Raw genomic sequence first — 25603 nt, 5'->3', positions numbered from 1 at the left:
TTTAAGGTGAATTCCTTGAGAGAGGATTACTGAGTCAAACTATACAAACATTTTTCCAAATTACCTCCCAAAAGATATGTACTTTATTTTCTTTCTTAAAGGATCCACTTACTGGCTACATACACTTTGGTCTGTACTTCATCCTAGGAAAGGACAGTCTATTTTTCAAACCTTTCACCTTTATAGTATTTTAATGTAGGGAGTTTGTCATCTAAACATTTCGGACCCAGTTAATAGAGTTTGCACCAATCCTTATGTTACAAAACTCAGGATCCTTTAGCTAACCTACAGGAAGTATTTTTGAAGGTGCTTAGACCCAGGGAAGAATTAGACCCAGGGTAAATGGTCTATCATATATTTAAAGTGGACTGCAAACTAAAATTTGTCTTGTCTTTATAGCAGCATCAGTAGAATTCTGCAACTTTCGCACAGCATTTGTAAAATAAGCAAAATGTGCAGTGTAGTTCACTGGAAATTACTGATGTGATACCAGTATTTTGGGATGTATTGGAATTCTTCAAACTGAAATTTGGCGTTTTTTCTTATATGCCCACTTAGTTTTGTCATGTTTACCTATGAATTTATTTATACTACATGTTTACTAAAGTGTTTACAACATAAACTAACATCTCACATTTTAAAAAAGTAAACAGTGTTAGAGATTATCCCTGAATGGTTCAATTTACACACTTACACATGCACAAATACTATGATTATTCCTTCCAGGAGCAGCTTTTAAAAGTGCACAGCCTGTGTAGTTGGAGAGTTCTTTGGAATTCCAAAGCCCCCTGCTCTTTATTGAACTAAGGTTTAACTGGTGTTCTTATGGGCTCATCTCTGTGTCAGGTGTCCAGAATTCAGCAGCAAATAAAATGGGCATAGTCCTGACCCTTAAGAGCTTCAATATAGTGGAAGATTTGAACAATAAAAAAAGACATCGTCGTTCCATGTAATGGGAACAATGACAGGAGCAGTAGGGGGCATGATGAGCGCAGTTAGGATACTGACCAAAAACATTTCTAGGGTCAATGAAAGCATCCCAGGTGCATGAAAATAATATTTATTGACAACATTTGCCAGGCAGCATGCCAACCACTTTACAAGCATTATCTCATTTAACATTTATATAGTTATATGAGATAACATATTTCCATTATCCTCATTTTAAAGAGGAGGTAGTTGCAAATTAGAGAAGTTAAACAACTCCTTCAGGTTCACACTGTAAGAAATGATAGAGTCCCAGTTCAAACACAGGCCGAGTTAAAAGTATGAGCATTTATTGTTGAAAAAAAACTTGAAAGATAAGTGAAGTGTTAATCAGAAGGAGAGAGAGGTTGGGGAAGGAAGGAAAGGAAGAGCCCCCCCCTCAAAAAAAAAGAAAGAAAAGAAACTATGCCAAGTCTTAGAAGACAGAAAGAGCATGACAAACTCAAGGAAAATTAAGAAGGTCATTATTTATGTTTCTTTTAATGTGAAAGACAAAATCACATGCTATAAGACCATAAAGGAAAATAATGATCAGTTCATGAAGGATCTTTTAAGATAACAAGTTTGAACTTTATTCTGAGGGAACTGTAGGACCACTGAAGTTTTATTAAGAAACATGACCTTTTACAGTTTGCTTTTTACAATGTTTCTCATGACTACCATTTGTGTATTGGAGTAGAGGGAATGAACAAAACTGGGAACAGTTAGGAATAGTAATTTAGGTACTAGATAATAGCAGCCAGGCTGGGAAAGTAAGGATGATATCAAGAAGACATATTTAAGGATTAAAAAGACTTAATGATTGGTTTGGACTCAATGATTGGATGTTTGTGTAGGAAGAGAGAGGTTTCAGGAATGCAGGTATGTTTCTGGGATGGGAGTGAATTCATGGCACCATTCATTTCTATAGGGAAAATGGATGATAAAATTTTGTGCAGGAGGATGATGAGTTTGCCCTTGGACATATTAAGTGACTGCAGACATGTCTAATTTATAGTAGGACATATGAATGCACAGTTCAAGAAAGATTAAACAGGGCATCAGGATTTGTGATTTACATCCCATAACAGTATTCATATGGTTTCATGTCCATGCATAGGTGTCCAATCTTTTGGCACACCTGGGACACATTGGAAGAAGAACCTTCATCTTGGGTCATACATAAAATACACTAACACTAACAATAGCGGATGAGCTAAAAAAAAAAAAAACTTAAAAAAATCTCGTAATGTTTTAAGGAAGTTTACAAATTTGTGATGGGCGGCATTCAAAGCTGTCCTGGGCCACGTGCGGCCTGCAGGGTGTGGGTTGGACAAGCTTGCATTAGATATTATGAGAAACCCTTGTCTTGCATCAATGTGTGCAAGACAAGAAGCTTGCAAAGTGACTAAGAAGGACCTTACAAATCATAGGAGAAAAAGCCTGGAAAGTGCAGTGTTGCAGCAATGAAAATAAACAATTGGGAAAGGAAAATATTAAGAGTCAACTACTGATAGGAGAGATATTGGGTGAAAAGTAATTTTGGTGTGAATAGATTATATTGAGAGTTGAGGTAGAAACCAGGCTAACAGGGTAATGTATGAGTGGCAGGAAATATTGTCATCCGTTACGGATAATTTGGGGAAGAAATTTGGCTTTGTTGGGATAGGATGGGCTGAAAGGTTATGTGATGACAAAGAGGGCTTTTCGTTTTTGTTTTAAAAAATAAGAGAAATTTAATCATTTTAAAATAGCAATGGAAATGTATTTAGGGAGGTTCCTGGAAAGGAGTTTGGGCTGGGGGAAGAGAAGATTCAAAAATTACTCTCCAGTGTAGGCCAGAGGAAGGGGATGTGGATAGAAAGTGTCCATTACATAGCATCTACTGTCCTTGAGAAATGAGAAATGAGGTCATCATCTGGTTACACTGATGGGAGTAGAAGAGAACAAGATTATTTAAATGCTCCAGAACAGTGGTTTTCAGCTCTGGCTATGAAAACCAAATATCAGACAATTTATGTTAGAATCTCTAAGAGGTAGCATCTAGGAATTACTACTGCAAAAGCCTTCCAGGTGATCACATTGTGTATCCATGGTTGAGAACTATTAAGAGGATTTTTTACCTATCTTTTCAGAGGAAAAAAGGAGCTGTCTTGCTCTGTGACCAAGGATGGATTTCTTAGCATTTCTGTTTTGCTTGCAAAATGGGGATAACAGGGCTTAACCTCACTAGGTTGCTGTGAGGAATAGCTGAGCAAAGAGATGTAAAGCAACTACCATACTCTCTGGAATATAGGAAGTACACAATGAATATTGACTGTGTTGTTTTTTGTATCCAGATAGAAAAGAATCTTAGAAATGTGTTTCATTTCTAATATCTGGCTGTTCTATGTACTCAGGACATTGGGATAGTTGTATTGACTTCATTGGAATGCAACAGGTAGAGAATAGATACTCTAGATGTCCTTACTTCCTTTTGTACTATTATAATAATTCATTCTCAGAGTTACAGGATGCATAGCTGCATATGGCTTATTTTGATGATCGCCATTGTTTTTAATATTTAGACAACTGAAAGTATAGGATTCTTTCCAGAAAGAAAGTCTCTGTATTGTATGGATAATTCTGTAAGCACAAAAAGTAAGATTTTTACTGAAGAAACAGACATGAAACCAAAGTGTTTGGATCATCAACTTGTGTTATCTGTCACTGAAATGCATTACATAATCTTTGACATACAAAATTTGAATCTGTGTATGATGCAAACACACACACTTATACACATACATAGACACATACTACATACATATATACTCAAATTACAAGCTAAAAATTTAGTTTCCATAGTATAAAAATAACCTATTGAAACTTTTATTGCTCCATGTAACCGATACTTATAAAAATATGTAACTTTTTGAGGTATATATTGCAGAAGTGATTGCTAACTAGGCTTTTGTCTATGTGTTCATTTTATAAGTACAACAATTAAGTGCCTGTGTGACTTTTTTTAAACTTATGCTGTGTGTGTGTTTGTGTGTATTTTTTCCTTCACAAAAATGGTATACATCCTTTTTTTTTTTAGTATCAGAAGTACTGCCTTATATCTAAATCATATTCTGTGAGCCCTCCCCACAAGTTATGTTTTTATACCTTGCTTTTATACCTTGCTATTCAGAGTGTGGTCCATAGACCAGCAGTATCAGTATCACCTGGGTGCTTATTGGACATGCAGAATCTCAGGGCTCACCACAGACCCCCGGAATTAGAATCTGCATTTTAATGAGATCCTTTGGGTGATTTGTGTTCACAGTAATGTTTGAGAAGCCCAAGTGCCTCAAGGGAAGCCTTTTCTTCTCTAGTAGACATTTTCTAATGAGCTGCAGAGGAAGGAGAATGTTTATTCCTTTAGGAAGAAAGGATGCACCTAATTTTAATTGCTTAACTATAAAATATGCATAACTAATGTATAAGGGAGAAAGTAATAAGGGTTACATTTTAGCTAGTCGGCTGCAAAATAATAATTCCTTTATTTTAATAACAAACAGTTGTATCTCCTTTTGTATAAGGCATCTCTTCTTACCCTGAACTAGTTACAACTTCATTCTCCAGTACTTACTCTCTGAACCAATGCCTTTATATGGAAGATCTCCCGTTTTCAGAGAGGTAAACAGAAACCGCTGTGGTATGGCACAAATAGGGCATGCCTGCCCTCCACTATTTCCTTTTTTTGGCATACAACTGTTTTCAATAATGTATTACTTAGCCTGTGTTTATCAGGCAAATGCAGACCATAATAGTTAATAAATTTTTAAAAACCAGAACAATAATACCAATATATCTGTAAACCTCCACTCAGCTCAAATGAATCAGAATTGCTATTAATATAATGCTGTTGTAAGAATCATATGCTGTCCTTCTAGTAACTTATTTAATAATAGCATGTACATCCCCACAACACAGATATGACACAGATTATTTATAAGCCGTTTTTATTCACATACAACCCTAATGTTTTTTTTCTTGTCACCAATGGGAAGAGATACCCTGGATGTGAGGCGGGCCCTGAGATGGAGGTTAGCATGCAGGATGTTTGTTAGGTGTGGTTATTAGAATCAAGAGAAGTGAAAGAACAGAAAAGCAGGAGTGGGTACAGGGAGGAGTTGAGTGAGGCTACAGTGCCTGTGACAGCCTCTGTGTACTCCATGGAGAGTTCTGGAGGTGGGATGGCTCTTCAGCCTTGTCTCAAGTTGGGATATGGGGCTGACCTTTATATATGTGGAGTATGAGTGTCCCTGCAAGGAGGAAAGTCCTCAAACGCAGCAGTTTCCTTCGAGACTTTCTAAAGCTACGCTTAAGCGTAGCACAAAGTGAGCTGTAACTCTCACACCAGCTGGGGGGAAAAAAATCTTCATTCTTGAAGGGGAGTCTGGCTGGTGCATCATAGTATCCGTCATATTTCCCCTTGAGATGTAAGTCTAAAGAAATACAAGGTCCTTCAGTATATCTTGATACTCAAAAAGAGGTTAGTACTGTTCACCATAGTTTTAGTCTTAGGAGTTTTGGTTGGTCTTTGAAAATTGCCCATTTGTTAATCTAATACTTAGTGAGAACCCTCTATAGGCAGTTCTGTATTATACAATTTCTTAGTGTTACAAAGTTACATAGAAATCACAATTCGTCAAGAATAATGAAGCTTAATGAAACAGACTTTAAATTCATTAAACAAATATTTCTAAGCACCAAATGGTGCCAGTCACTGTGCCAGGCCTTGAGTTTAGGGTGGTGAACAAAACCAACGTGTTCTCAGACCTCATGGAACTTATGGAGGATGTAGAGGCAGATATGAAACAAATAGTCATGCAAATAGGCCCATAATTACACATTTTGATAGGAGCTATGAAAGAAAAGCAAAATATGCCATGCAAGAGCAATTTGCATAAAAATGGATGAGGAGAATTACTGAGAAAGTGTCAGGTAAGATGAGACCTGGAGATAAGTGATGGCAAGAGTGGGGAAGAAGAGAACTTGAGACAGTGGGAAGAGAATATGCTAAAGCTGGTAAAGAGTTCAGGTTCGCTCCTTTTCTACCTACCTACCCCACCAAAACCCCAAAACTATGGCAGGTGGTACTGTGTCCGGAATTGGTGGGTTGTTGGTCTCACTGACTTCAAGAATGAAGCCGCGGACCCTCACGGTGAGTGTTACAGTTCTTAAAGGTGGCGTGTCCGGAGTTCGTTCCTTCTGATGTTCGGATGTGTGCGGAGTTTCTTCCTTCTGGTGGGTTCGTGGTCTTGCTGGCTCAGGCGTGAAACTGCAGACCTTCACAGTGAGTGTTAGAGCTCATAAAGGCAGTGTGGACCCAAAGAGTGAGCAGCAGCAAGATTTATTGCAAAGAACAAAAGAACAAAGCTTCCACAATGTGGAAGGGGACCCCAGCGGGTTGCCACTGCTGGCTGGGGCAGACTGCTTTTATTCTCTTATCCGGCCCTACCCACATCCTGCTGATTGGTCCATTTTACAGAGAGCCGATTGGTCTGTTTTACAAAGAGCTGATTGGTCCGTTTTGACAGGGTGCTGATTGGTGCCTTTGCAATCCCTGAGCTAGGCACAAAAGTTCTCCAGGCCCCCACTAGATTAGCTAGAAACAGAGTGTTGACTGGTGTATTTACAAACCCTGAGCTAGACACAGAGTGCGATTGGTGCATTCACAAACCTTGAGCTAGATGCAGAGTGCCGATTGGTGCATTCACAATCCCTTAGCTGGACATAAAGGTTCTCCAAGTCCCCACCAGATTAACTAGACACAGAGTGCCAGTTGGTGCATTCACAAACCTTGAGCTAGATGCAGAGTGCCGATTGGTGCATTCACAATCCCTTAGCTAGACATAAAGGTTCTCCAAGTCCCCACCAGATTAACTAGACACAGAGTGCCAATTGGTGCATTCACAAACCCTGAGCTAGGCACGGGGTGCTGATTGGTGTGTTTACAAACCTTGAGCTAGATACAGAGTGCTGATTGGTGTATTTACAATCCCTTAGCTAGACATAAAGGTTCTCCAAGTCCCCACCAGATGAACTAGATACAGAGTGCCGATTGGTGCATTCACAAACCCTGAGCTAGACACACGGTGCCGACTGGTGTGTTTACAATCCCTTAGCTAGACACAAAGATTCTCCAAGTCCCCACCAAACTCAGGAGCCCAGCTGAATTCACCCAGTGGATCCCGCACCGGGGTGCAGGTGGAGCTGCCTGCCAGTCCAGCGCCGTGCGCCTGCACTCCGCAGCCCTTGGGCGGTTCTGGGCGCTGTGGAGCAGGGGGCGGCGCTCGTCAGGAGGCTCTGGCGGCGCAGGAGCCCACAGAGGGTGGGGGATGCTCAGGCATGGCGGGCTGCAGGTCCCGAGCCCTGCCTCGCTGGGAGGCAGCTAAGGGCCGGGGAGAAATCCAACACAGCAGCTGCTGGCCCAGGTGCTAAGCCCCTCACCGCCCGGGCCGACGGGGCTGGCCGGCCGCTCCCAGTGCGGGGCCCGCCAAGGCCACGCCCACCCGGAACTCGCGCTGGCCCGCAAGCGCCGGGCGCAGCCCCCGATTCCCGCCTGCGCCTCTTCGTCGGCACCTCCCTGCAAGCTGAGGGAGCCGGCTCCAGCCTTGGCCAGCCCAGAAAGGGGCTCCCACAGTGCAGCGGCGGGCTGAAGGGCTCCTCAAGCGCGGCCAGAGTGAGTGCCAAAGCCGAGGAGGCGCCGAGAGCGAAGGAGGGCTGTGAGGGCTGCCAGCTGGCTGTCACCTCACAGTGTAGCGGACAGGAAGAAGAATGTTGCCAGGCAGGTAAGGCTGAAGACTTAAGCCGGACTATCTCAGGTAGAGCCTAAGGCGGCTGTTGTCCAGAATTCAGGAGACAAGTATTGACTGTTTTTAATGATATGATTAGTTTACCAAAACAAAAAAACCAAAAAATCAAAACAAAAACCTATCTGCCATGTAGAAAATGGATTCAGCCTAGATTGTTGATAGATAGAATGCAAATATTCAGAGGATGCAGTAAGACCACCCAAGAGGGCATCTAATCAAACAGAGGGTCAATGCCATGCTTGAGCAGAGACTTAAGTATGAGTGAGTCTCACTGTACCATTGATGGGAAGCAAAGGATTCTAGGTCTAGGAAAACAGTAACTTGGAATTAACAGAGACTGGAAACTCTGTCTGGTGTCCTGAGGTTCCACTTAGAATAATTAGCTGTATAAAGATAGCAAAAGAACATGGGGCAAAAGAGAGGGCAAAGGCTAAGTCATTGGGCTCCTGAGATTAAGGTTAAGAATTTTTCCTTTTTTCTGAAAACTAAAGCACTAATGAAGGCTTTAAAGCAGAAAAATGACCATCAGCCTAATGAGCATATTAGAAAGATAACTTTGTTAGTCCTGAGAAATAAAGTTTGAAGAGTGATTGGTAAGACTTGACGTAGGGAAATGGTTAGACAGACATTTCAGTAATCCAGATAATAAATAAAGGCGGCTTATTTTGAGACACTGAAAATAAAGATTGAGGAACAGAATCTAAAAATGTTTCATGTGAATCTTTATATGTCTATTTTTATTTGCCAGTTTTATTTGATAATCCAAAGTCATGGGGCAATTTTGATAGTTGGAAACCACAGTTACCCTATTTTAGACTGAAAATACAAATATGAATTTTGTGTAACATTGCTGTTAGGGTGATATTGTGAGCATCAGCATTGGTATGTGAGTAGCAGGTACAATTTAATATAAGTTTTAATAGGAGACTAAGTAAAACATTGTTATATAAATATTTTAGTAAAGAATCTTGTATTCTGAAGTTAAATGACATACTTTTTTTTTTGTTTTTGCATAAACATTGTTTAGGATCATCTGTGTCCTTTATCATTTCTCTCACTGCAGATCTAAGAAGTTTGACCAACTTTTAATAGAGGCCCTTACAGTATGCTAAAGAAAAGCATTCCAAGATAAATAAAAACTTGTCACAGAAACAACTATACTGTAACCTGTTGTGTAAAAGGAACCATAGATTTGTCACTTACTACCTATACAATCTAGGGCAAACTGTTTAATTTTTAGGGCCTGTAAGTTGGTCAGGGCATATATATTGCAGCATTCTACAACATAAAACTTTAAAAATGAGAGTTTCAGTGATTTTTTTAAAATTTAGATGTCAAGTGAATAGTAGAACCAAGTCTAAATGAAGGTTCCATTTAATTATGATACTAATAGAAATATCTATATGGGCAAAGATTAAAATCATATATTCAAAATTCACTTATCCTGCATTTGCAGAGTTTAATGGGGTGCCTGACATACAGTCTCTTTATTTCTATGTACTACAGTTTTTATCTGAGAAGCATTTCTTGTTATGAAGAAGATAAGCAGAAATGTTATGTTTCCCTAGGTTGAGATCAAAGGAACTAAATTGGTTTTGACTTCTACCATTTCAGTGACCTCAATTTTAATTTAAAATTAGAAGCATATAGGGAAATTATTTGCCATCTATCTTACAGCCTGGAGCTTAAAAAAAACTGATTAGATATAAGAATATTCATTTATATTCAGGTTCTGGAACCAACCCTTTGGCTCTATTTATATCCTTACAGTTTGATAAAATGTATAGTTGTTTTCTCATGGGTAAATAGAAAAGAGTTATCATTTATTTATTTGTTTGTTTGTTTGTTTACTTATTTGAGATGGAGTCTCGTTCTCTTGCCCAGGCTGGAGTGCGGTGCTGTGATCTCAGCTCGCTGCAACCTCCACCTCCTAGGTTCAAACGATTGTCCTGCCTCAGCCTCCTGAATAGCTGGGATTACAGATGGCCGCCACCATGCCTGGCTAATTTTTGTGTTTTGAGTAGAGACGGGATTTCACTGTGTTGGCCATGCTGGTCTTGAACTCCTGACCTCAGGTGATCCGCCCGCCTCGGCCTTTCAAAGTGCTGGGATTACAGGCGTGAGCTACCGCACCCGGCCTAGAAAAAGATTTATCAGACAAAAGGAACGAGGACCTTCAACCTTACTACGTTGTGAGCACATATTTTACAAATTACAATGATTAAATTAAAACAATACTTATATGGGTAGACATTAAAGGAAAATCAGTGCCTCAAAAAAGGGGATGGTAAGGCTAACATAGATTAATAACCTCCTGAGCATACAATGTAGCTGAACATTTTTCTCACTGAGATTACCAGAAGAAGTCGGCCATTGTTCTTTGGTTTGGGAATTAAACAAAAGAATTTGTTTGAAGTGATGGATAATTTCAGTATATACTTGGGTTTTGCCATATAGATAACCAGCTAATGCTTCTGACTTTTCTGCATAGATTGTTTAAGTGGCACACATCAAAGGGGTAATAGTTTGGGTTTTAATTATAATCCATTACAAACTCACATTGGGATTTTAGGCAAGTGTTAAAATTTGCTCAAGCCTCAATATTTTTTTTTTCAGTTATAAAATGAGGATATTAATACTGGTTTTCTGTAACTCACACAATTGTAATGACAATTAAATGAGGTGTTTATGATGAATGGGAAAGCATTTGAAATAAAGGGAAGTGCTATGCAAATAAAGTAGTAATACCCCCTTAGATCACTTAAGACATGCCTGCCTCTGCTGGTTCACAGAGAGAAGTATTTAATATATCCTGATGATATAGGCTGACAGTACTGCATTAGATATTGTATGTGACCTAATTTTTTAAAAAAATCTATGCATTAGTTTCATTGAGACCACCAGTCCCTTGAAACTTCAGCTTTTATAGTTTCTTGTCAGTAGAAACATCCTGTCTTAGTTCAGTTTTTGTTGCTGCAATGGAATATCACAGACTGGTTAATCTATGTAGAAAAGAAATTTATGTCTCACAGTTTTGGAGGATGAGAAGTCCAATATCAAGGTGCTGGCATCTAGTGAGGGCCTTCTTGTTGCATCATCCCATGGTGGAAGGGTGGACAGGCAAAAAAGCATGTGTGAGAGAGAGTGGAAGGGGACTGAACTCATCGTTTTATCAGGAACCCACTCCTTCAATAACAAACCCATGCCTGAGATATTGGCATTAATCCATTCATGAAGGCAGAGCCCTCTTGATCTAATTGCCTCTGAATAGTCCCACTTCTCAACACTATTGCGTTGGGGATTTTTTTCCAATACGTGAACTTTAGGGATGCATTCAAACCCTACCACACCCTCACCACCATCCTTTAATTTTCCTGACTTAGATAGAATAGTCCACAATGACAGCTACACCCTGGTCAACATCCACAATTCATTTCCTGGTTGGCTTCAGTGCAACCATCTGGCATCAGAAGCTACTCTGGAACAAGCCACCTATCTACTTCCCCATGACTATGACCAATCCTAGTGTTGCCATAGAAAATCGCCCAACTCTGAAGATTCATGCCATTCTGATGACATTTTACAACAGGCTAGCAACAACACCTAGAAGATTTCCGCATCCATGGGTCAGTTTCCCTACTTATTTTCTGTAGTGGCTGCATCAGACCTCATGCAACTTCCTAAAGATCAGCTTTCGTCCCCCACCACCTTTAATTGACAACAGATGGTGTTATTTGTTTTCACTGGGAAATCATCATCAGCTGTCTGCTCTACCTGAAACATTCTTTCCATATCAACTTTGTCTACTTCATCTACACACCTCCCATTTATTCTTGAGGTTACAACCTGAGGAAAATGTCCTTGATCCAAGTCAATGTGTTTTCTCACACTGGAGGACACATATCCTTATAATTGCTGCTTCCTTTTCATGATTTCTCTAACTCAATGAAGGCAGAATTGCCCCCTTCACAGTTGTCTCCTTAATGCCTATCACTGTGTCTGACTCATAGTTAAGTGTTCAATAAATATTTATTGAGTAAAAAATAGTGATGTCATTCATTCTCCCATCCCCCTCCAAATCTTCTTCTTCTCTCTTTTGTGGCTCTCTTCAGGTTACCTTTTCGTTACCTTTAACTTTGACTTAATGCAATATGTATTTATTAAGTAACTGTCACTCTTCTAGGCATATCAGGAATTTATAAAACACATAGTTTTGTTCTTTGAAGGATGTTAGAAAATGAAACAGATATATGTGGAATATGTTATAATAGCTCATATGAATTTAATACTTACTATGTTACAAGCACAGTGCTTATCACCATGCCCATTATCTCATTTAATCATCACTATGTTTAACCAACATTACATGTTAATTCCTATGTAATAATGTATTAGTTTTCTCTACATCATGCTCTGGTGACATAATCCCAGAATTTCAGTTGTTTAGAACAATAAAAACTTATTTTTCGCTTACAACGTATGTTGGCTGTGGTTCAGCTGGGATTCTGCTCTGTGTCTTCTTCACTTTGGGAACTAAACAGAATGAGCAGCCCCTACTCAAGATATGTCTTAGTCCTTCTTAGGGGTTACCAACATTCAGACCACAGTAGGACTTGACATTCTTGTGTCAGAAGGAAAAGAAAGAAGTGGCAGAAACAGTTAACATCATCCCTGCTCACATTTTGCTGGCCAGAGGAAATCACATGGCCACTCCTAATGCCCATGTTTTGATGTGTTATACTTATGAAGAGATGCTGTTTGCTCTGGGGGCATGATCAAGAGAATTACATGAAAAGAGGCAAGAATGTATTATTAAGGAGTGGGAAGCCAATCACAGTGGTGAGCTCTTGTAGTCCTAGCTACTCAGGAGGCTGGCGTGGGAGGATCATTTGAACCCAGGAGCTCCAGTCCAGCCTGGGCAATAGAGCAAGTCCATGTCTCTAAAAAAAAAATTTTTTTTTAAGAAACAGTAAAAAAAGATGAGGGAGGTTGGGCAGAATCTCCCATGCATGTTTGAGTATTAAGAAAAGTGGCATGGAAAGAAGAAGGGAGAATAGTAATTCCTAAAGACTAGACCTTAACTGTATTTAATATAGGGTTCAAGAATTTGTGAAGGGACTTGGAATTGTAAATAAAAGGAAAATCAAGTTCTAATATGCAAGAATATGAGTGGTGGGAGTTAATGAGAGTGCTCAGTAATGCCAAATGCATGTATTCAGGCATAAAGATCATTAATTTGGCCAGCGGAAGGAGGGTGACCAAAATTTCAAAGGATTTGCTCTGTTTAAGTAATCTCCAAATATTTGTTATGTTGAAGTATATTACAGGTAAATGGCTGGATCTAATTTTCAGCATTGGAGATGCTCAGTGATTACAGTCGTAATTGGACTTCAGGTGACAAATAGTGGGCAATTTTGCCAACTCATGCTTTACCTTGTCTTAATTAAAGTGATGTTGTGCCGTTGTGCCTCAGCCAGCCTGACCCAGTCACGGTGAACACAGATACCCAATCATTTACTGCTGGGGAAAGTTCAGGTTTGCTATTCCAAAAGACTGAAAGCCCATTCTTTCAATTTCTCTCTTCTTCCCTCAAAGCTTTATACTGTATTTGAGCCATACAATGGCAACCAGATTCTTAATCTTATTTAAAAATTGTTGATACTCTGAAGGGCAGTGTATAAGCTAATTTTATAATTTGGAAATTGGAATAGACAAAATTTGGGGGCAAAGTTTATGGCCCAATTAGGGAAACAATTAGGTTATCCTGCCCTCTCATCAGTATTTGAAGAAGTATATTTGTACGCATCTACAATATACATCTATTATTAGATGGAAAGTATTCACGTGTAATCAAATCTTTATGATTTAAAAATTTGGAATTCAAATTGAAGAAAGTTTTAACTTGCATTTGCCAAAGATTTCGTCTAAACAACAATTTTCTAAGAGTATCTTTATATATGTTAACAATATCACAGTGGTGTCCACTATATATCATTTTGTTCCATGTGTCCTGGCACAGGCCACACAGTGTCATGACTGCTAGTTATTGCTGTCATTCAAAAACTCAGTTATTAATGTATTCTTGAATCAGAAACAGTGATTCATAGTTTGATAAAATATTCTGTTGCCATTGAGCATTCCTTTATTTCTAAAATGTAGCATCAATTCGATGCCTTGGTTTTCATATTACATGCATGGTTAGGTCCTCATATCCATCCTTCAATATTTAACTTCAGATTTAATGTATGCCGGCATTAAGCCAGGGATTATGTGTGCTCCTAGCCAAGAGCTTCCTGTGAACCTTTCATTGGAGCCTCTTTGGTGGCCAAGATGTGAAGGAAAGTTTGAGCCATCGGAATCAAGTGGATGGCTGTGTGCTGGGATGAGGACAACAACAGATCAATCTGTGAGTCAGTCAGGCTCCACTGCCAAGAGTAGAGCAGCCCTGGATATCTAAGTAATAAGTTAAATTTCAATCGCATTTAGAATCAGTGTTAAAAACCTATTCAGATATTGTCTGTGGTGAAAAGTGTCCAACTGGATGACTGAGTTTGTCAAAGGAAACAAAACATAAAATTCACAGCCTTTTAAAACGTCAGTACCAGAATCAAAAAGAGCAATATAGCTCCTTATGCTTGACCTGTGAGTACAGGGAATTACCTACTCATCTGTGAGTTGTGCTACGTGCTCCCTTGAAAGCCCTTAAGGCTTGGTCATTCTGAGATTCCATGTTTGCCATCCGAAAGCTGGAGAGATGTGTCACTGTGCCCTTTATCTGCCTCCTCAGATGCTTTCTGACTGAATACACAGTTCTGAGTCATGGCTACTTCCACCCTTCACTTGATGTATGAAGACTTTGACTTACCTGTGAAATTATTAGTATTAGTTTTAATGTACTTAAAGCTGTTTGCTAATTCATTCAAAAAAATAAGCTATCCATTTCTTTGTTAGCAGCCCACCTCATTGTGATGATGACGCAGCTAACTACTGTACCATAAAGAGTACAATTTTTATTCATGTGGTTTATATTTGGAATATTATTATTGGGCAGTAAAATTATTAGTTACTATTTATGATTGTCTAGTTAGTAGTATCTAACACAATGCTAGGTGCGGTATAGACATTGTTTCCAATCATATTAGCAGTTTTGTAGATAATGTATCTGTGTGTGTGTGTGTGTGTGTGTGTGTGTGTGTGTAATTAAACTGAGGCTCAGAGATGCTATTATATCAATGTATCAAAATCATTATAACCTAGAGATTTGTACTTCAGGGCTGTGTATCAAAACCTTGATTCTTCCATCCTTTCAACCTATAACAAAAAAAAAAGAGGCCTGCGGAAGCTAGAGTCCCTGGATGGGTCACATCTGACCACCATGAAAGGCTTTTTTATTCCCTCCAGTGTGCCTTGTATGTGTGGCCCTTTTCTGTGATTGCTTTGAAGAGAAAATTTGGAAAACTCTAAAGTCTACTAAGTTGTGGTACTGGAATTTCAGCTCAAGTCTGCATGGATCCAAAGCTGTGTTATTTTGCGTCATCATGGCTTAGTTTTTTTGTTTTTGCTTTTAAACTCAATCTAATTTCGTTCATGTTCCAAGCTTACGGACATTTGTAATTTTGTGGCCAGTTAAAAGTACTAGAATAGACATTGTAGAAAAGTAAATGCAAAGAAGAAATGCAAGGTAGATAAAATAAAATATTAGATGCGGCATTCAGAAAAATTGCAAAAATGAGCGACATACAGTGCCTTCTTGTAACACATTTAGAGAACTTAACATGTATTGCAGTAAGAAAAATTGAAGTAGAGAGTTTTAGAGAGTCTTGAGAAAGGACGGGTCACATTCAGGGAGTAGGGGATGATTGAAACATCCAGATAGACATCCACACAGACTTGATGGACAGGTAGGCTTTTGATAATGAGGAGCATGCAGATGGACACTTGGCAAAAGGAACAGATAAACAGAAATGGAGGTACAATGCCTACCAACTTTCATAGAATTCACTTATCTTTCATTCTGAATTTTGCATCTGCAAAAAGTGCACCAAGATAGGTCCTCACTACTTTATAGGCATCGGAATGATATTTAAGACTGACTGTGATACAATTTATGAGTGGAGCATTTTGCTTGATTAGAAGCAGCATCTCAAGCTAGTACAGTTATTTGTATTTATGCATATGTTTATCCTTGTCTCCCTTTTGGCCATAATGATGATAATTATGTTTCTCAAAATTGCTCTGAGTTTTGCCATTTTCACCCCTATTGAACACTGATAGGATGTAGCTAAGAGATGCAAAACCAGTGAATTCTTAGCTGAATTCAGACTCTCAGATTCAGCTTATATTGAAAACTTTTTAATTAAAAAGTTATTTATTAAGAAGCTGTTTGGGTTTTTTCTAAGTACTGGCATTTTTTAATATAAATCTTTTATTAATCCACTCATTTATGTACAGTGAACATGAATTTACCCACCATTCCCCAATTACATTGTTCTTCAAGCTGCCTCTGTCTCCATCTTGGTCTACGTATACTATTTAGTTTGCACATAATATGCTATAGGCAAATATATAAATAATATGCATGTAACCTAAGGAAAAAGCAATAAATATAAATTAGTTTACCAAGCAACTCAGTTATGGTTTTGTAAGACATCCATAAAGAAATTGTGTTAGGAGACAGTTAATAAAGAAACTATATGAGACCTAAGAACTGTAGCAAGCTGGTAGGTTTAGTGCAGAAATTGTTTTTTAAAACTGTACTGACTTGACAGCAGCATGCAAGCTCACCAGTTTTTCATTTAAAAAGGACTAATAGGCCGGGTGCGGTGATTCACACTTGTAATCCCAGCACTTTGGGAGGCCGAGGTGGGTGGATCACCTGGGGTCAGGAGTTCAAGAGCAGCCTGGCCAACATGGTGAACCCTGTCTCTACTAAAAATACAAAAATTAGCCAGGTGTGGTGGTGGGCACCTGTAATCCCAGCCACTCGGGAGGCTGAGGCAGAGAATCGCTTGAACCTGGGAGGCAGAGGTTGCAGTGAGCCGAAATTGGGCCACTGCACTCCAGCCTAGGCGACAGAGCGAGCCTCCGTCTCAAAAAAAAAAAAAAGACTAATACAATTTAAGTGATCTTAGAAATGCTTTATTATTCACCCAGTTTACCAGAATATTCTACTCTTCACTATATATGAGACTGTTAGATCTTTTGTAGGCATATGAGTTGAATCCCTTAAAGTTCTTTATTTAGTAACAAGATCATACCAACAGTGGTGCTCTAAAATCATTGCTGTCCGGTAGAACATACGTGAGTGATGGAGATGTTTTATATTTGTGCTGTCCAATAGGACAGTTGCTAACCACATTTGGTTTTTGAGCACTTGATATGAGGCTAGTAAGAATGAGGAAGTAAATTTTTACTTTTGTTTAATTTTAATTAATTTTAATTTAAATAGTCACATATGATTAGTGACTACCTAGTATATAGCTCAGTTTTAACTGATTCATGTCATATTTCTAATGTTTTTGGACAAATGTATCTTGTGAACATTTTATATATGAGCTCATACAAATATGGAAAATGCATTTATAGTCCATTATCTAAAAAATTGTTCTATTTTTATGTTATGCTTTCTTAGGTGCAAACTTTAGAAATTAGTGAGATTTCAGTTGTCCCTTTTGTGTGTGACAACTTCTAAAAGTAGCCTAAGGAACCATTTGGCCCATTACTTTGTGCTTAAAGCAGACCCAGTAATTCACAGGAGAAGCATATAGAAGAGCGTTTGGAAACTCAAGACAGGCCTCAAGCAAAAGGTGTCTGAGATAAAGAAGTACGTGCTCCAAAACTGTACTGGCAGGTAAGTAATGAGGAAGGAGAAGTTAACATCATTATAAAATTTAGGTCTTCTTCTTTTTTTGGCATTTTAACCCAATACCTAGAACAATAATAAAACAACAATTATCTTACAAATTATATAAGTAGCATAAATGCATAAGCAGACACTGTTAACGTATCTCTTCTAATTGGCTAATTTAGAGTTTACTGCCAGGAACAAAGTAGTCTGGAAATTTTAGCAGCGTATCAGAGGAGGAGCAGACAATGTGCAGACACTTACTTTGGTTCTCCTGTCAAATTTGACAGTAATGGCCCTTCATATTTTACTGTCTGCTTCAAAATTCAGAGTCAAATGTATTTTAGTTATAGCACTGAAACTCACAGTGCTTATTGGTCTTATGCTGAGATTTTGTGGTCCTGATCTCTCTTCCTCACTTTCTCTCGCTCCTACTCATTCCTCCCAGGAGACGTGGAGTAACTTTTGTTCTTGGAGAGATTGGAAGGAGGAACAAGGCCTCCCCCTTTAGTATTTCCAGCCCCACCCATGCTAGTGCCAAAGACCCCATTGAAGGGCTCAGGCTCAGATTGTTCCAGTGTGTCAGTGCTGAATGGACATGGTCAGTCCACTCAGTTCTGGGGTCAGTATCAGGCATCCCATTTGCTCACAGATTTCAGTCATACTTTACAATTTCCACTTTATTAATAATCACGGTGAGGTGGGGAAGAGGTTTGTTATTTATTAGACCCCTTTGAAACCTAATAGTTCTCACCTAAGCTGGTGATAAATGAGATTGAGGCTTTAGGATTGCCTATTAGAATATCTGGGGGACTGTGTCAATGTGCATTTGTCCTCTTCCTTCTATCCTCTGTCTAACTGACCTAATTCAACTGCAGTCCCTGTAAATATCTCCACTGAGAACTGGCTTAGGATATTGGAAAAGCCCAGTTACTATTCTACTTAGTGTAGACTTGCACATTCCGCATTTCAGACTTTTAACTACACCAGGCTACTATACTGTGAAACATTGTTGTGTATGTGGGCTTGGGCTAGAATCATACACTTTACATTTATCTTGGTCAGTCCCTCAATGCTTAACATAGCCATTGATCTGTATAACTGGAATTACTCTTAATATGTTCATGAATTTCAAATTTTATATTGATTTTTAGTAAAATGTTATTATAGAATGGTTAAAATCACTATTTTGGTGGAAATTAAAAGCACCACTAAAATGTTATTTTTAAATTTTCTGAATCTTTTTTTATTAATTCAACATCTGTTGCTCAGGAGGTCAAGGCAAATAAAATAAATGTGTTTGTCTTTTTTATGGCCATACATCTATGAGAAAGAATATAAAGGCAAATAATAATAATAATAATACCACATCAGGAATATGAATCAAATTTGCTATAGGATTTTTTTAAATTAAATAATGAATTCTACCCGAGAAAAAAATAAAGCAAATAGGTGCTTACTAAGCCCACCAATTATAGAATCTACTTTGTGACTGCCAAATACTAATAATAAAGTTAAACTTATGGAACATTTACTGTGTACCAGATACAGAGCCAAATCCTTAATAGATACAATATTCTAAAAATCCAAACCCCACCTGAAGTGGGTACTATTATTGGCACCATATTATAGAAGAGAAAAGTAAGAGATAGAGAAATTATGTAATTACTAGGCCCTGGAAACATGTACCTTAACATCTTACAATGTGGAATTGGTTTAAATCTGAGATGCATACAAATTGCTACACTTCTCATTTTCCCTTTTCTTCAGTAGAGGTTTTATCTGATCAGATAGCGATTTAGATCTTTGTCCCACTGGAGGGTTTTAAATCAGGAAACTTGGCCTTTTTAAAATCTCTAGCCATTTTTAAGAATCACTCATTGGTGAACACTTCTAATTTATATGGCTTCATGGAAGCATGTTGTATTAAAATTAATCTATAATTTATCTGTGAGTTAGCACGAGTGTGGAAATAACATTAATGGAAGGCCAGTATTGGGTGTAAGAGAGGTAGGCTTCTGCTCTATAAAACTGAATGAAATGCATCTGAGAGAAATCATTGATTTAAAAGGTGAAAAAGTGGCCGGATGCGATGGCTCATGCCTGTAATCCCAGCATTTTGGGAGCCAAAGGTGGGTGGATCACTTGAAGTCAGGAGTTTGAGACCAGCCTGAGTAACATGGTGAAACCCTGTCTCTTCAAAAAATAAAAAAATTAGCGCAACATGATGGCAGGTGCCTGTAACCCAAGCTACTCGGGAGGCTGAGGCAAGAGAACCATCTGAACCCAGGAGGCAGAGGTTGCAGTGAGCTGAGATCGCACCATTGCACCACTTTTTTTTTTTTTTGAGACACTGTCAAAAAAAAAAAAAAAAAGAAAAAAGAAAACAAGAATAACCAATCTCTGGGCAAATTTAAACAACATTTTTTATGGGGAAAATTGATTTTTGTCCGGGAAAAGTTTATCATAACTTCTAAATAATCTATATAAATTTCTTCTAGAATGGCACAAATTCTGTTGTCAACCCCTCCAATAGAGCTACATAGTAGCCATATTTAACACAACTCCAAATATTGCAAAGATGTTTTAAATGTGTTCATAACTGATGAAAGAAATTTAAAATAGTTCATATAAAAGTATAGGTAAAATTTTTAATAAGTGAATGGGGGTTTATTTTTAGTGTGACATGAAAAGTTAACCACATGAAATCTTTTACCAGCAAAGAAAATTACATTGTCATCACGTGTGATGAATGTTGATAGGACAGATATGTATCATTCACAAAGGAAATCAGGATAGCTATATATAAATGTATGTGCAGATAACATATTAAATCCATATCCTAGATTGTTTGGGTGTTTTCAGCCCTCATAATATGAAGTGAATCTCTCTTTCACAATAAATAATATTTCTGCAAGTTCAGGATTTGTTTATTTCTGGGATGGTTGGTGGGTGTGCGTGTGCGTGTGTGTGTGTGTGTGTGTGTGTGTGAGAGAGAGAGAGAGAGAGAGATAAATGAAGTAAAGTTGCCTGCAAATAGTAGATTCAGAACTTCCTCCCCAAAATATGCATTCCCCTCTTCTGGTAAATGTCTGAAGTCTACCTTGCAGCTTGTTTTATTTCTTTTGTTTAAAACTTTGCTAATGTGTTCAGATGTAGAATTCATTTGAATAGGATATGTTTTCAGCAGTTTGCAGTCTAATGAACAACGGGGCTTTTGGGGTCACACAGAGCTGGAGTTGACCCTTGCCAGTAGCTGGCTGAGTGGCCACAGGGAAATTATTTATACCCTAAGGTCTCCTCAATTATCTCTACAGGAAAATAAGGTAATGGTAGTTACTTCAGAGTTGGTATGAAAAAGAAATGAGAAAACTATAACAATGATCACAATGGCTGGTGTTTGGAAGGTGCTTAAAACTCAATGTGAACGGCTTTCTGAGATTCTTCTCTAACTTCGGTTTTCAATACCCGCAATAAGGGAAAGAAAATATGGTATCAGTAGGTCTCCAGAGGATGCTAAAGTGTTGGAGAGGTGAGGAAGGGGAAATATTAGGTCCTGCTAATAAACTTGATCAGCTTTTAAGTATCGTCAGGTTTAGATAACTGGAGCACATTTGCCTTATCAATAAGTACCATATTTTAAAATAGATATGAATTTTATTCTGTGTATTTTTACCTGGTGGAATATGTATAAAGTACACTTAATTTCTTGTATATAACACATTTCCTATAGAAATGCTATTTTAGCACCTCTTGTGGGAAAAAAACAAAGTATAGATAGCTTTTAAAGAGTACCAACAGCGGCAAATTGCTTGGAGAAGGTATAGAAGCATACCCAAATAGTTTCTCATAGCCAGTAATTTAAAAAATTACGTTATAAATGCTGTTTGAGAAGTTGAAAGACAGATCACCTTGGAATACTAATAAAATTTAAAATTGAGATGACGGAGGTTCTAACCTTCGACATCCAGAACTTTGAGCAGCTTAAGAAAGTTATATGACTCAAGTTTTTGTTATTGTTGTTAAAGCTTGTATTTGAAAAAAACATTTTGAAGTATTAGAAACATAACAACTTATTATTTTAGATTGGTAGTTTTTCCATGAGTATATGTAACCTCCTAAATTACATGAATTCTATTGAATAAGCTTTTATACTGTGACTGTGGGGTGTCACACTTTATGCCAGATGACAGCAATGAATAAAACACAGAAGATCTATCTATCTATCTATCTATCTATCTATCTATCTATCTATCTATCTGTCTATCTATCTATCTATCACATTTGAAATATAATTTGGTGAATGCAGTGATAAAGTAGAATTTGGGTACAGAATAGGGAAATCATATTTCTTGGATTCAGCATTCATTTGGAAACTTGCGAAGTATTGCCAGATAAGATAGCCGGAGTTTCTTCCCACTAAACATTTTGTTTGAGTCCCAAATAATTTTTTAAACTTGTGATTCTGTGGTATCTCTGCCTTGCTAAACACAACTTTCCACTCTTGGAAAGTAATAGGTTTTAGTGTTTCTCTGTTTACTGAGCAAGTGCTTCACATAGGTGAGTTACTCTGCTGTTGCTCCCCATAATTGCTTTTTGATGTGTTATGTTATACTGTTGGCCAATAAAGTGCTTGATCAATATGCACTACATCCCAGATAATCCTGTTATTTTCATTGGCTCTACTATGCTTTGTTTGGCATGTGGCTTTCCAAGCACTTAAGATTGGGAACATCTCAAACGTAACATCAGAACTGAATGCCTACTGTTTTTTTATTTTTTGATTATGGCCATTTTGGCAGGAGTAAAGTGATATCACATTGTGGTTTTGATTGGCATTTCCCTGGTCATTAGTGATGTTGAGTATTTTCTCATGTTTGTTGGCCATTTGTATATCTTCTTTTGAGAATTGTCTCTTCTTGTCCTTAGCCAACTTTTCGATAGGATTGTTTGTTTTTTTGCTGATTTTTTTTGAGTTTGTTGTCGATTCTGGGTATTAGTCCCTTGTCAAATATATATATAGTGAAGATTTTCTCCCACTCTGTGGGTTGTCTGTTTACTCTGCTGACTGTTCCTTTTGCCATGCAAAAGCTCTTTAGGTTAATTAAGTCCCAGCTATTTATCTTTGTTTTTATTGCATTTGCTTTTGGGTTCTTGGTCATGAAATCTTTGCCTAAGCCAATGTTTAGAAGGGTTTTTCCAATGTAATTTTCTAGAATTTTTATAGTTTCAGGTCTTAGGTTTAAGTCCTTAATCCATATTGAGGTGATTTTTATATAAGGTGAGAGATGAGGATCCAGTTTCATTCTCCTACCTGTGACTTGCCAATTATCCCAGCACCATTTTTGAATAGGCTGTCCTTTTTCCACTTTATGTTTTTTTTGCTTTGTCAAAGATCAGTTGGCTGTAAGTATTTGGGTTTACTTCTGGGTTCTCTATTCTGTTCCATTGGCCTATGTGCCTATTTTTATACCAGTACCATGCTGTTTTGGTGACTGTGGCCTTATAGTATAGTTTGAAATCAGGTAGTGTGATGCCCTCAGATTTGTCCTTTTTGCTTTGTCTTGCTTTGGCTATGCGGGCTCTTTTTTGGTTTCATATGAATTTTAGAATAGTTTTTTTCTAATTCTGTGAAGAATTATGGTGGTATTTTGATGGGGATTGCATTGAATTTGTAGATTGGCTTTGGCAGTATGGTTATTTTCACCATATTGATTCTCCCCGTCCTTCACAATATTGATTCTCCCCATCCATGAGCATGGGATGTGTTTCCATTTGTTTGTGTCATCTATTATTTCTTTCAGGAGTGTTTTATAGTTTTCCTTGTGGAGGTCTTACACCTCCTTGGTTAGGTATATTCCTAAGTTTTTGTTGTTGTTGTTGTTGTTGTTGTTTGTTTGTTTTTAGCTATTGTAAAAGGGGTTGAGTTCTTGATTTGATTCTCCGCTTGGTTGCTGTTGGTGTATAGGAGAACTACTGATTTTTGTACGTTAGTCTTGTATCCGGAAACTTTGCTCAATTATTTTATTCTAGGAGCTTTCTGGAAGAGTCATTAGGGTTTTCACGATAAACGATCATATCATCAGCAAACTGTGACAGTTTGACTTCCTCTTTACCAGTTTGGATGCCCTTACTTTCTCTTGTCTGATTACTCTGGCTAGGACTTCCAGTACTATGTTGAAGAGGAGTGGTGAGAGTGGACATCTTATCTTGTTCCAGTTCTCAGAGGGAATGCTTTCAGCTTTTCCCCATTCAGTATTATGTTGGTAGTGAGTTTGTCATAGATGACTTTTATTACATTGAGGTATATCCCTTTTATGCCGATTTTGCTGAGAGTTTTAATCATAAAGGGTGCTGGATTTTATGGAATGCTTTTTCTGCATCTATTGAGATGATCATGTGATTTTTGTTTTTAATTCTGTTTATATGGTGCATCACATTTATTGACTTCCCTGGTATGAAACCCACTTGATCATGGTGGATTCCGTTAGCTAGTATTGTGTTAAGGATTTTAGCATCTATGTTCATCAGGGATATCAGTCAGTAGTTTTCTTTTTTGGTTGTATCCTTTCCTGGTTTTAGCATTAGGGTGATGCTGGCTTCATAGAATGAATTAGGGAGGGTTCCCTCTGTCTCTGTCTTGTGGAATAGTGTCAATAGGATTGGTAGCAATTCTTCATTGAATGTCTGGTAGAATTCTGCTGTGAATCCATCTGATCCTAGATGTTGATGTGGATGCGGTGATTGGGGAACACTTCTACACTGCTGGTGGGAATGGAAACTACTACAGCCACTATGGAAAACAGTGTGGAGATTCCTTAAAGAGCTGAAAGTAGAACTACCATTTGATCCAGCAATCCCACTACTGGGTATCTACCCAGAGGAAAAGAAGCCATTATACAAAAAAGATACTAGCACACACATTTTTATAGCAGCACAATTCACAATTGCAAAATCATGGAACCAACCCAAATGCCCATCAATCAACAAGTAGATAAAGAAACTTATATATATATATATATATATATATATATATATATATGATGGAATACTACTCAGCCATAGAAAAGGAATGAATTGACAGCATTTACAGTGACCTGGATAAGAGTGGAGACTATTATTCTATGTGAAGTAACTCAGGAATGGAAAACCAAACATTGTATGTTCTCACAGATATGTTTCAGCTAAGCTATGAGGACGCAAAAGCATAAGAATGATACAATACAATGAACTTTGGGGACTTGAGAAGACGAGTAGGAGGGAGGTGAGGGATAAAAGACAACAAATACTGTGCAGCGTATACTGCTTGGGTGATGGGTGCTCCAAAACCTCACCAATCACCACTAAAGAACTTACTCATGTAACCAAATACCACCTGCACCCCAATAACCTATGGAAAAATAAAAAAGATAAAAATAAAAAAAGAACTGAATGCCTGATTTTCCCTCACTGGACCTGCTCTTCTAGACTTTTGTTTTTTTCTCAGTAAGTGATAAATTCATTCTTTTAGTTGCTCAGGTCAAAAACCTTGACTCCCTTTTTTCTCTCCAGACCAAATTCCAACCTGTCAGCATAGTTCTGCTTCTACAAATATCCAGAATCCAGCCGGTTTCTCTGCTACTACCCTCATCCAAGTCACATGTCATCACCTGTCAACTGAATCACAGACAAGATCCTAACTAGTCTCCTGCTTCTTCCCTGTGCCCCTCCAGTCTGTTTTCAGTACAGCAGCCAGAGTGATTCTTTTAAAACTTACTTTTACATCTTTCAGCTGCTTAGAACTTTCCAGTGACTCCTTGTCTTATTCAGAGAAAAGCCAAAGATCTTTACAGTGGCATAGCAGTTCTATATGATCAGGCCCTTGTTGCCTCTGAATTTCCTTTTTACAGTGCCTATCTCCTACTAATATAGCCACCTGGACTTTCTGCTCAGTGTTCTTCATATA

General features: G+C 38.1%; 1 protein-coding gene across 4 annotated transcripts in view, besides 1 other annotated feature; it reads left to right on the top strand.

Moving 5' to 3' along the window:
• Positions 1 to 25603, top strand: part of MDGA2 (MAM domain containing glycosylphosphatidylinositol anchor 2) — an 835983-nt gene that overhangs the window by 41477 nt on the left and 768903 nt on the right. The gene's annotated exons all lie outside the window — the stretch shown is intronic.
• Positions 13986 to 15185: an enhancer, noted in NCBI's record as "CDK7 strongly-dependent group 2 enhancer chr14:48088147-48089346 (GRCh37/hg19 assembly coordinates)". NCBI's record gives its function as "activates an origin of replication core promoter dependent on BRD2, BRD4, P300/CBP, MED14 and CDK7 cofactors, with strong dependence on CDK7, by STARR-seq in HCT116 cells {active_cell/tissue: HCT116}" and the evidence as "EXISTENCE:reporter gene assay evidence [ECO:0000049][PMID:35650434]".

The sequence above is a fragment of the Homo sapiens genome, chromosome 14 (assembly GCF_000001405.40).
Source record: "Homo sapiens chromosome 14, GRCh38.p14 Primary Assembly".
NCBI lineage: Eukaryota > Metazoa > Chordata > Mammalia > Primates > Hominidae > Homo > Homo sapiens.
Note: the sequence above shows the minus strand (reverse complement) of the source record. Positions and strands in the feature narration are given on the sequence as shown.